Below are 13,344 nucleotides of genomic sequence, written 5' to 3' on the forward strand. Positions count from 1 at the left end.
AATTAAATCAGAACCTCTGTGGGTAGGGACTGGGCATTGTTATATCAAAAAATTTTCCCATGTGATTTTGTGTGTGTGTGTGTGTGTGTGTGTGTGTGTGACAGAGTCTCGCTCTGTGGCCAAGGCTGGAGTGCAGTGGCACAATCTCAGCTCACCGCAACCTCTGCCTCCCAGGTTCCAGCGACTCTCCTGCCTCAGTTTCCTGAGTAGCTGGGATTACAGAGGCTCACCACCACACCCAGCTAATTTTTATATTTTTAGTAGAGACTGGGTTTTGCCATGTTGGCCAGGCTGGTCTCACACTCCTGGCCTCAAGTGATCCGCTGGCCTCAGCCTCCTGAAGTGCTGGAATTACAGGCGTGAGCCACCATGCCCAGCCCCCATGTGATTTTGATGTGTAGCTAAAGTGGAGAGCCAATGCTCCTCCTGAAGTCGTCTTTCGCTCTGAGTAGCACATTTTTTTTCAGGAACATGAATAATTGGCTGAAGAAAGGAAAAAGGAAAAGGGGCCAACTTTTACTGAATCCATGCCTTTCACCCTGGTCAGCACCCAAGTGCCAGAAGATGTACTGTCTGTGAAGTAGGGGTTATTTGTGCCAATTTTGCAGATAAACACTGAGGATCAGAGAAGTTCTTAACTTGGCCAAGGTCACACGACTAGGAATTAGTGGTGAACTGTGTGATTCCAGGTCTGTCTCTTCACACTAAGGCCAGGACAAGAATTTGCAAAACTAATTGCTGATGGTAGAAGTCAGAGGTATACGGATGGGAGAGAGTCACGAGCAAGCTTGTCAGGGGGCTGGAGGTGTTCTAAATCTTAGTATTAGTGGTTGTTGCAGGGGTTTGCAAGATGTAAACATCTCTGAGATGTATGTGGAAAATAAACGCACTTTAAGTTTACCATCTGTATGTTACACCTAAAAGTCCATAAGCTCCTCAGCCAACAGTGACCTTGCGGTAGGACCCACTAGTTGACCCTGGAGGTCTGCATGGGCAGTGGACTGAAGAAGGCAAAGGCTGTGGAGTCAGATGGAACTGGATTCCAGTCCAGCTTATGACGTTGGGCAAGTCACTGGACATCATAAATTGAGGGAGCAATACCTACCTAACTGGGTTAGCCTTGAGGCCTAAGGAAGAAAATACATGTCAAGTCTCTAGCACAGGGCTTGGCACCAGACAGAACAGGCAGTTCCTAAGTGGTCAGTAAATGGTGGCTTTAAGCCATCTTTAAGACGTCTGTCCTGTTAGAAGGATACAGAGTCGGAGACTTCTTGAGGTAACAGGAACAGCTGAGGAACGGGAACACCTAGGGACAGAGCATTTACAGAACTTGTCCTAGGTCTTCCTACCCTGTTGAAGAGATCACAGAAGAGATCATATGGAGAAGCCAGGTCGAGAGACAGGCCTGATGTCCCAGTGCCCTAGCTGAGCCCAGCCTTTGAGCTGTCCCCAACAAGGTGCCAGTCATGTGCGTGAGCTGTTTTGGACAGTCCAGCCCAAGTGAGCCCCTGGATAATGCTGTTCCTGCCAATGGCACGTGGAGCTGAGCCTGGTCAATGCAGAATCTCAAGAGGTAAAGCATGGATATTGTTTTAAGCCATTGAACTTTGGGGATAAGAAAAACAGGAATTGCTATTTAGAGTAGGAGGGCTCCAATAATCAACACCAAAAACATGTGCCATTGGCTTAGAAACAGAGCAGTGGGCAGAGGCTAGACAGGCCCCGAGGGGATTGTTATTGGAACATGGAAGGACTGTGAACGTAACTGTAATAGGGCCTTTGCCTGACACAGGGCAGATCAATATGCTGAGACACTTGGTTGCAGCAGAGAAAGAGGTTTAGTTGCATGGCTGGCTAATGAGGAGATGAGAGGAAACCTCAAATCTGTCTCTCCAAGGAATTTAAGGATAGGGTTTCTAAGGGGTTTGGAGTGGGCCAAAGTGTGGAGATTGTCAATTGGTGGAAGAGGGCAGGGAGAAGTCATGGGACAGGGAGATGAAGAAGCTGTTTTCATACTGGTCTGGTTCCTCCGTGGGGGTCTTCAAACTGATTGGTGTCAGCTGTTCCACTGGAAGTCAGGATCTGCTTGAGCAATTTTTTTTTTTTTTTTGAGACAGAATCTCACTCTGTCACCCAGGCTGGAGTGCAATGGCACCATCTCGGCTCACTGCAACCTCTGCCTCCTGGGTTCACGCGATTCTCCTGCCCCAGCCTCCCGAGTAGCTGGGATTACAGGCGCCCACCACCACGCCAGGCTAATTTTTTGTATTTTTAGTAGAGATGGGGTTTCACCATGTTGGCCAGGCTGGTCTTGAACTCCTGACCTCAGGTGATCTGCCTGCCTCGGCCTCCCAAAGTCCTGGGATTATAGGCGTGAGCCACCACGCCCGGCTGCTTAAGCAATTCTTTTTTTTTTTTTTTTTTTGAGATGGAGTTTCGCTCTTGTTGCCCAGGCTGGCATGCAATGGCGTGATCTCGGCTCGCAGTAACCACCACCTCCCAGGTTCAAGCAATTCTCCTGCCTCAGCCTCTCGAGTAGTTGGGATTACAGGCATGCGCCACCACGCCCCACCTTGCTTAAGCAATTCTTAAATAAAAGCTTTGTGATTCTTATGTCAGAGATCCTATCTATCTCAAGTGGGTCAAAGTGCAGCCTGATTAATGCTTAATTATAACTATATTTCTGTCCAGAATTCTTGTTAACCCTGTGAAGACAGCTGAATGAGGAAATTGTTATTGGAGGCTGAGTAAAGGGGACCCAACTAATTCACTGGCAGAATAATTTAGTAAAACTGTTCCCTGTGATAATGTGGGCACTAAAACATACCTCATGAACTTGCTGATTTGGCTGATGCAGAATGTTGATGGCACCAACTGGTTCGTGTTTTTTGTTTTTTGTTTTTTTGAGACAGAGTTTTGCTCTTGTTGCCCAGGCTGGAGTGCAATGGTGCGATCTCAGCTTACCGCAACCTCTGCCTCCCTGGTTCAAGCAATTCTCCTGCGTCAGCCTCCCGAGTAGCTGGGATTACAGGCATGCGCCACCACACCCGGCTAATTTTGTATTTTTAGTAGAGATGGGGTTTTGCCACGTTGGTCAGGCTGGTCTCGAACTCGTGACCTCAGGTGATCCGCCCACCTTAGCCTATCAAAGTGCTGGGATTACAGGCGTGAGCCACTGCGCCCGGCCAACTGGTTCATTTTAACTGCATAGCAGGAGGTATGGATAGACAGATGAATTGAAGAAGGAATTGTTCAGGATCCAAGCAGAACCTAAAGAAAAAGTTTCTAGCCCCACTAGAAACTTGCTGGATTGGAAAAAACAACTGTTTCTTGTTCCTAACCTTAACAGCCCAGTAAAAATTCTCCCAGAAAACAAAAACCTGAAGGGATGACCAGATGTGATGGCTCATGCCTGTAATCCTAGCAGTTTGAGAGGCCTAGGTGGAAGGATCGCCTGAGGCCAGGAGTTTGAGGTTACAGAGAGCCCTCAGTTGCACCATTTCACTCCAGCCTGGCAGGGACAGAGTGAGATCCTGTTTCAAAAAAAAAAGTTAAAAAAATGTGGAGGTAGGGGAGAAACCTGGTGCTAAAGATCAAATCCAGGGAACTTCTAGTAAAACGTGGCCTCCGGGTCAAGACCAAATCAGTGACACAGCTATAAGACCCTTTTGTTGATATTTCAGAAAGATTTAAGCATTTGCCAGGTGGATCCTCTCAGCTAGATAAAAAGGCCTCTAAGAATCTTTAGGGCATTGTTCCTCAGCAGTAGATGCAGGGTCCAAAGCAGAAAAGGCTTGTCTCCGAAAGAAACTAAGGGTGGCTTTTGTCTAATGCAGTGGATTGTAATCAGATACACAGGAAACACAACATTTTTAATTGTACTTGCTTGACTGAAAGGAATGGAGACTTTTTTTTTTCTTTTGAGATAGAGTCTCACTCTCTTGCCCAGGCTGGAGTGCAGTAGCAGGATCTCTGCTCACTGCAACCTCCACTTTCCAGGTTCAAGCAATTCTTCTGCCTCAGCCTCCCGCATAGCTGGGACTACAGGTGCATGCCATCAAGCCTGGCTAATTTTTGTATTTTTAGTAAAGATGGGGGTTTCGCCATATTGGTCAGGCTGGTCTCAAACTCCTGACCTCATGATCCGCCTACCTCGGCCTCCCAAAGTGCTGGGATTACAGGCGTGAGCCACCATGCCCGGTGGAACAGAGTCATTTTAAAACAAAAGGTAGCCTTTGTGGCCCCAGCTCCCTAAGTGCAGGAAGCCAGCAAACATGGTCATACCTTATGGAAAAGAAGGATGATTCAGAGGGTGGAGCCAAGAGCCTAAGAGGACCATTCCCAGGAAGCTGACCCGGGGCTTTCATCAATGTTTTCTACCCTTGGAGCAGGGAGGATTGTATCCCGTGGAATTTCAGAATGGCCACGGACCTGTGACTACCCTAGGTCTCGTGTTTTTGAATGGGAGCGTGTATTGTGGCGCCTGAGTTCCTGTTTTGCCATTCTACGTTGGGTCTATAGGGGGAGAGAACTTGTTGTCTCTTTAGTTCACAGGTCTTCAGAGCAGGAGGAACCACACCCAAAGGCCTCAGCAACAACTGGCTGAGATTTAGTTGATGAGTAACTTGACTTCAAGCCTAGGCCTGAGGCTGAATTGGGGTGAGACTCTGGGAGTTACGGGAGGTAAAGGGAAGTTCATTTTGCATGTGAGAGAGGCTTTGGGGACCAGGTAGTAGACTATGGTGACTGGTCTCCAAAGATGGCCCAATGACTCATGCCTCCCTATGTGCATGCCTTTGTGCAGTCCACTCCCACATCATATCTGGGCTGGTTCTGTGACCTACTTTAACCAACAGAAGGCAGCAGATGTGATGGATGCCATGCCAGCTCTGGACCTAAGAATTAAGGTGGCCTGCTAGTGTCAGCCTTTGCTGTTTGGAAGACCCTGAGCGACCATATAAGAAGCCTGTTTACCTTGTGCTCATAAGACCACATGGAAAGGCCTTGGGTAGGGGAGAAGCCCTGAAACCACCTGGAAAAAGACAGGTGCAGCCTTTCTGGTCTGGCTGAGTTCACACCTCTAGCCACCCCACCAACCTGCCAGACATGAGAATGCCATCTTGGATGTTCTAGCAGAGTTGAGTCCCTGGATGATATCGTGTAGAGCAGAACTGACCTCAGATTACCTGAGTCAACCCACAGAGTCATGAGAAGAGAATACAATGGTGGTATATTTTTTAGTGTGTGTGGTTTTTTGTTGTTGTTGTTGTTGTTTGTTTGATTTGAGACAGAGTCTCACTCTTTCATCCAGGCTGGAGAGCAGTGGTGTGATCTTGGCTCACTGAAAGCTCTGCCTCCTGGGTTTAAGCAATTCTCCTGCCTCAGCCTCCCAAGTAGCTTGGGTTACAGGTGCCTGCCACCTGTAATTTTTTTTTTTTTTTTTTTTTTTTGAGACAGAGTCTTGCTCTGTCGCCCAGACTGGAGTGCAGTGGCTCAATCTCGGCTCACTGCAATCTCTGCCACCCGGGCTCACACCATTCTCCTGCCTCAGCCTCCCCTGTAGCTGGGACTACAGGTGCCCGCTGCCACGCCTGGCTAATTTTTTGTATTTTTAGTACAGACGGGGTTTCAACGTGTTAGCCAGGATGGTCTCGATCTCCTGACCTCGTGATCCGCCTGCCTTGGCCTCCCAAAGTGCTAGGATTACATGTGTGAGCCACTGCACCTGGCCTGATTTTTGTATTTTTAGTAGAGACAGGGTTTCACCATGTTGGCCAAGCTGGTTTTGAACTACTGACCTCAAGTGATCCACCCACCTTGGCCTCCCCAAGTGCTGAGATTACAGGTGTGAGCAACCGTGCCCAGTCAATGGTGATATTTTAAAGCCACTCAGTTTTGGGATAGTTTGTTATACAGCAGTAAACAGCTAAAATGCCATTGGCCAAATCCAATCAGAAATTAAAGAACAAGAAGCCCAGGAAAAGTGTGCTTATAATCATCCTCCAGAAGCAGAGAGTGGAATGGAGAAGGGTGAGGAGTGGATCTGGAGGGGTGAACTGAAGATAACTAACACTGGTCCTGAAGGCTTAGATATGGGGTAAGAGACAGGGATTCCTGGGTTTGTGACATTCGGAATTGGAAGGATTGTGAGACCTTTGCTGAAACAGGGATGGCTAGACAACAACCATGTTTTGGGGGGAAAGGCTTGATTTCTATTCTGGATATATAGAGGTTGAGAGGCTTTGGGACATTCACATGGAAGTGTCAAAGGAGAGGAATGTGAGAACCGTCAGCGTACAAAGCTGGGAACTGTAGCTGAGGGTGAAGTTGCCCAGAGCGAAAGGCCGGGGTGAGATAAGAAGAGGGCCAAGGACTGAGCTCTGAGGAACCCAAGCATTTAACAGTCAAGCCTGCAAAGGAGACAGAGAAGGGACAACCAGAGAGGTAGGATAAAAAATGAGGATTGTGCAATGTCAGGGAAGACATGAAAAGAGGATGATAGAAGAGAGCAGTCAATGACATCTTACACTGCTCAGAGGTCAAGTCAGAAGAGAACTGAGGGCCAGGTGCAGTGGCTCACACCTGTAATCCCAACACTTTGGGAGGCTGAGGCAGGGGGATCACTGGAGCCCAGGAGTTCGAGACCAGCAACATGGTAAGACCCTGTCTCAAAAATAAATAGACAGACAGACAGACAGACAGATAGGACCAAAGGATCCATCGAGGTTGGTGGCCTTCAGGAAAGCCATTCCAGTTTTCTGGGGCTCACTAAAGTGAGCACTCACTCCCTTATTAGGCAGCATGAAATGAGTGAGCCCATAAAATGGGGCCAGCAGAAGAGCTGGGGCTATTTCCAAAGAGGGAATCCAGATGGCCAACAAACCCTTGAAAAGGGGCCAAACCTCAATAGTCACCAGAGAAATGTGAATTAAAACCACAATGAGCTTTCATTTTACGCCCACTAAATTGGCTAAAAATAAAAAACCTAATGATACTAGAATTTGGCAGGGGTATTAAGCAAGTGGAACTCTCAGGTGCTGTTGGTAGGAATGCAAGTTGATATAACCATCTTGGGAACAGTTTGACATTAACTAGTGTGGTTGAGGATGTGCATAGTGTGTTAAGCCAGGTTTCCTGAGAAACTGAGGAGGGTGTTGGCATGCAGAGGTTTTATGGGGAATGCCCTTAGAAATAGCACCTATGAGGTAGTGAGGAATCAGGATTTCCCATAGGGAGAGGATGAACTGTGCTAGAGTTGTAACAGAGACCTCTGTCACTGGGAGCTCTGAAACTGGGATGGCCCTTCACAGTTGTCCTGAACTGACAGAAGGGCATCATGCCTTTATACTCCTCTGTTGATCAGTCATTGGCTGGAACTGCACCCAAAGAGTGGTTGCAACCTTTTCCACTAGAGGGCTCTCCTGCCACCTGGGAAGTGAGTGAGTGCCTTGGTCCTGAAGAGGGAGATCTAACACATCACAGCATCCACTACAGTCCTGCACCACATGGATCCCCCTGCTTCATAAAATAAGCTAAACCCATCTGAGAACAGCTTCTCCAGGATTCTGCTTCATCTCTTTTTCTCTTTCTTTCCTTCTTTTTCTTCCCCTTTCTTTCTTTCTTTTTATTTCTCTTTTTTCTCTCTCTTTTCTTTCTCCCTCTTTTCTTTCTCTCCTTTTTTCTTTCTTTTCCCTTTCCCCTTTCTTTTCCTTTCTAATAAGGTCTCACTCTTTTGCCCAGGCTGGAGTTGCAGTGGCAACCATGGCTCACTGCAACCTCGACCTCCTGGGCTCAAGTGATTCTCCCACCTCAGCCTCCCAAGTAGCTGGGACTACAGGTGTGCACCACCATACCCGGCTAATTTTTATAGAGACAGGATCTTGCTATATTGTCCAGGCTGGTTGAAAACTCCTGAGTTCAAGTAATCCTCCCATCTTTGCCTCCAAAAGTGTTAGGATAACAGGTGTGAGCCATTACACCTGGCCATTTTCTTTTCTTTTTTCATCTCTTTTTCTGGGGAAGTTTGAGAAGGTTAGTGGAATGAATGGCAGCTGTCACGCTGCAGCTGGTCTCAGGGCACAGCTGATAGTCTTCTTCTCCCTCCTCTCCTGTGCATTCTAGATCCCCTCACCCTCGGCCAGCGTCTCTGCTGGTCTAGGTGGCTTACCTAGTGAGATGGCCCTGAGAGGTTTGAGACCATGGTCACCATGCTTGTCTCAGGTCATGGTTGCCGCATCTGTCTATTAACCATCAAAGTTGGTCAGAGAAGAACCAAGAATCACCGCAATAGATCTGCTGGAGTGTTAGATGAGTCCCTCCCCATCCTGTTGTGCAACAGCAGCCCTGCCTCCTCCTGGTGATCATTTAACCTGCCAAGAACATGACTCCTTTTTTTGCCTGCTGGTCTGTTGGTGTAAGGAGCCTGAAGTGACCAGGTGGCAGCTGGTTTGATAAGACAAATTTTATTGGCCTCCTGGGGGAAGCATCCTCCTGCTGGGAATGAGGACTTCTAGACCTATAGAGCCTAGAGCTGTACAGATGAAAGGACTGATTTCTCCCAGCAGCTCACTGGGAGTACAGTGAGAGCAGCCACTCATACTTCCACCCCCGGATTCCCAGATCCATTTATTCTACTTCGACAAGACAGCCCCAGCCCCAACCTGGAAATACCATCTGATGTCTCTCTACAGGCCTGCAAAGAGCAGGCACTTGAGCTCTTAATCAACAACTCATAAATGGCTGTTGATTCAGGGTGAATACTGCATCCTGGGGGATGGTGCTGTATCCTTGCAGTGTCATTTCCAGATTGATGCCTTGGCTGCATTTCTTTTTTTCTAACTAAAGTGCTTTTTATTTATTTTATTTTATTTTATTAATTTTTTGGGGGCGACAGAGTCTCACTCTTGCTGGAGTGCAGTGGCATGATCTTGGCTCACTGCAACCTCTGCCTCCCAGGTTCAAATGATTCCTGTGCCTCAGCCTCCCAAGTAGGTGGGACCACAGGTGTGTGTTACTTCACCTGTAGTAGCTTTTTGTATTTTTAGTAGAGACGGGGTTTCACCATGTTGCCCAGGCTGGTCTTGAACTCCTGGGCTCGAGTGATCTGCCTGCCTTGGTCTCCCAAAGTGCTGGGATTACAGGTGTGAGCCACTGCACCCGGCCACTAAAGTGCTTTTTAAATTTTTAGACTTGCCAAACATCTTTAATATAGAAATTCTTTAATCTATCAACTCAAATCACAGCAGCAGCCACAAAGCAGTTAAAGGAAGGGTCTTGGGAGGGAGAAAGGAAGGTTTTCAGGCTCCTGACTATTTCCCTCACCTGCAATCCCGCTTGCTGCCCATGAGAACACGGTCTTAGCAGAGAACAAGTCAAGGCATCCAGAGCCGTAGGGGCCTTACAGCCCACTCTAGGGTGGCCTAAGTGCTGTAGTCCCCTCCAACATGACATCACTGCAACCTCTAGGGAAAGCCAAATCCAGCTAGGAGACAATAGGAAGGTGATTGTTACTGAGAGGAGACATTCATCTGCATTCTGCTGATCATGTCTTTTGGAGATAGAATTTTCCAGACACTGTTGGATAGAAAAGAGTTAAAAATGCACCTGGGAGAAGAATAGAAGTTGAACGTTAGTCTGCCTTCTGCCAGAATTCCTTGCCCATGACTCTAGAAAGCTGGCGTGGATCTGCTCAGAGTTGGGAAGGGGAAGGGATGACAGAATCTTTGGTCCAGTGGGGCTGGAGCCTTGCCAGGCACTGACCAAGAAAGCCTCAAGGCAGATCAGCGACTCCTGTGGGAAGCAGCACTGGGTGAACCATACTCCAGGGAGTGCTGTGGTACAAAAATAGCTTTCAGGCAGAACTTATTGCAGGTGTGGAAGAGAGAAAGGACTCAAATGGGAAAGAATTAAGAGCTCAAGTGCCTGCCTTTTACAGGTCTACAGGGAGACGTGAAATGATATTTCCAGTTTGGGGCTGGGAAAGACCCAGTCTATTGTTCCTCTGGGGCCCAGTTTGACTGTTTGGATGTAGGCAACAGCACCAAAGTCCTCCAGGGTCATTGAGGCCAGCTGCTTCTGGGCAAGGTGGTATGTGGTAAGTCCAGTGGATGTCACAGTCATAAGCAAGGCTGTACCACCTTTGCTGTCTCTTGGTCTAATGGGAGTTATCTGAGACTCTTGGTCTAATGTGATATTATCTGAGACCAAATGTTAGTGGATCAGTGCTTTGCAAGTCCTTAGATCGGCCGAGGCGTTGTAGCCAGGAAATGTAACACACACCCAAAAGATGTGTCAGTTGCAGTCAACATGAATTGCTTCCCCTTCCAGGTAGAAGAGGTCTGATGTAACTAGCTTGCCACCAAGGGGCTGATGGGGCTCCTTGAAGGATGGTTGTCATGTTGAGGTTTTTTTTTTTTTAATTATTTTTTCTCATACATCACATGAAGGATGAAGAGGGCTCTATGTTAATCTTTGTTGCTGGAAGATTGGACATTCAACAGTGACAGTAGCTAGAGCATTCTTAGTGAATGCAGAACCTCTAACCCCGCCACATAGCTTCTCCATTTGTAAACCCATTGTGCCAGAACTGGGGTGGCCAGTGACAGAGGCTGACTGCTGAATGGACTGAGTCTCTCTGCCTATTTTGTTACATGGTAACTTCTCCACGGTAGATGCTGTCTGGGGGACAGGAGCATAAGATGCAAAGATTTTCACACTTTGTGCCAGTTCCCATGGGTCCACACATCCCTGTGTCCCAGACCTCCTTGTCTCTAATCTTCCTATATTTATCCTTCCTAATTTTGCCACTGCCCATATGTCTGTAACTTACCTCAGGTTATTTCTCTTGGCCACGAAGTGGTTGAGCATGTGCACTGCCCAAAGTTCGGCCTGTTGGGAAGATTCCTTCTCATTAGTGTCTTTAAGGGTCCCTGCTGAGTGAGGCTGCAGTGCAGTTGTTCTCTGTTTTCAACTTGCACTGCCATGCTGAATGCACCCACCTGTGGATCAAGCTTGGCCTTTTTCCTGTTTGCTGGCTGGTCATAAGGGAGCCCAAAAGCAGCTGCCAGGGTGAGCCGAAGGAGGCATGCAGGTGTCACACTGGGGGATGACATGGGGGTCTTGGCCACCATGGGGATCTTGTGCAGCTTACTCGTGCTCTCTGGCCCTGCTTGTGCCTGATCCCAGATGTTCCACCTTACTATGGATTGCTGTCAAGCCCATCTGACCTTGTCATTTGGTAGCTCTGACAGATCCCAGCTTGGGATGGACAGTTCTGGCTGCAAGGGTCACTTAATGTCCAATGGTCAAGCCCTCTATCTCTACGAGGGCCACCCACAGGTAATTTGTCAAATGGCAATAATTCTCTGCTGCAGACTGAATGGCTTTGCTCTGGAACTTGAGGGATCTACGTGGTGATTCTCTCATTGGGGCTTGCCATAAATATATGGCATCTCTTCCCACCACAGATACCTCTAATAGCCCAGGTTCTTCCAGGTTATGTGGCCCCAGAGGCTGAGCTGCTTGTACTACAGCCTGACTGTGCCAGAGAGCTCTTTTCTGCCTTGAGATCTGTTCAAAGTTGTCAGCCTTCCATGTTCCTAAGAAAATGGGTTGGAGCAGTATTCCAAAGTATAAAATACGCCACAGGCCGGGCACGGTGGCTCACACCTGTAATATCAGTGCTTTGGGAGGCCGAGGCAGGTGGATCACCTGAGGTCAGGAGTTTGAGAACAGCCTGGCAAATGTGGTGAAACCCTATCTCTACTAAAAATACAAAATTATCTGGGTGTGGTGGCAAGTGCCTGTAGTCCCAGCCACTCAGGAGGCTGAGGCAGGAGAATCACTTGAACCTGGGAGGCGGAGGTTGCAGTGAGCCGAGATCACGTCATTGTACTCCAGCCTGGGCAAAAAGAGTGAAACACCATTTCAAAAATAAATAAATAAATAAAGTAAAATATGCTGCAGAAGTCTACAAAGTGTTGCTGTCTTCTTCTTTTTTTTTTTTTTTTTGAGACGGAGTTTCACTCTTGTAGCCCAGGCTGGAGTGCAATGGCATGATCTCGGCTCACTGCAACCTCCGCCTCCCGGGTTCAAGTGATTCTCTTGCCTCAGCTTCCTGAGTAGCTGGGATTACAGGCGTGCACCACCAGGCCCAGCTTATTTTTTTTAAATTTTTTAATTTATTTTTTGTATTTTTAGTAGAGACGGGGTTTCATGATGGCCAGGCTGGTCTTGAACTCCTAACCTCAGGTGATCCACCCACCTTGGCCTCCCAGAGTGCTGGGATTACAGGCATGAGCCACTGCGCCCAGCAGAGTGTTGCTATCTTCTTAAGGAGGAACAAGGTGTAATTACTTGTCCTTTGCCTTGGAGAGGATGTCCTAGCAGGCCCCAGACCATTGAATCCCTAAAAACCTCATGATGTGGTGAGCCTCTTAAACTTCTGGAGTCCTTCTAATTCTTTTTTTTTTTCCTAGTTTATTTGCTATTTTTTCCAACTTTTAGATTCAAGGGGTACATGTACAGGTTTGTTACCTGGATACATTGCGTGATGCTGTGATGCTGAGATTTGGGATACAAATGATCCAGTCACCCAGGTACTGAGCATAGTATCCGACAGTTTTTCAATCCTTGCCCCTCTCCTCTCCTCCCCGCTCTAGTAGTCCCCAGTGTCTAGTGTTGCTGTCTTTATTCCCATCAGCCCCTGATGTTTAGCTCCCACTTATAAGAACATGTGGTATTTGATTTTCTGCTCCTGTGTTAATTTGCTTAGGATTAAATTCTTTTTTTTTCTTTTTTTTTTTTTTGAGATGGAGTCTCGCTCTGTCGACCAGGCTAGAGTGCAGTGGCGCGATCTCAGCTTACTGTGAGCTCCGCCTCCCGGGTTCACACCATTCTCCTGCCTCAGCCTCCCGAGTAGCTGGGACTACAGGTGCACGCCACCATGCCCGGCTGATTTTTTGTATTTTTTTAGTAGAGACGGGGTTTCACTGTGTTAGCCAGGATGGTCTCGATCTCCTGCCCTTGTGATCCGCCTGCCTCAGCCTCCCAAAGTGCTGGGATTACAGGCGTGAGCCACCATGTCTGGCCAGGATTGAATTCTTATAGGGTTTATCTCCAACTCTCTGGAGCCATGTCCTGTTCATCCAGTCCTATTAACACTATCTCGCCCATAGACTGGATCAATATGATGTTTTGCAGGATGCCCAGATGGCCCAGTCCCTTTACACCATGTTATGACAGACGGCAAGACTTAACATAGCCTTGAGGTAGACTGTAAATGTATATTGTTGTCTGTCCCCACATATATTGAGCTATTTTTGGTCCTTTTTCTTGTTAGGGATG

The sequence above is a fragment of the Homo sapiens genome, chromosome 3 (assembly GCF_000001405.40).
Source record: "Homo sapiens chromosome 3, GRCh38.p14 Primary Assembly".
Taxonomy (NCBI): Eukaryota; Metazoa; Chordata; class Mammalia; order Primates; family Hominidae; genus Homo; species Homo sapiens.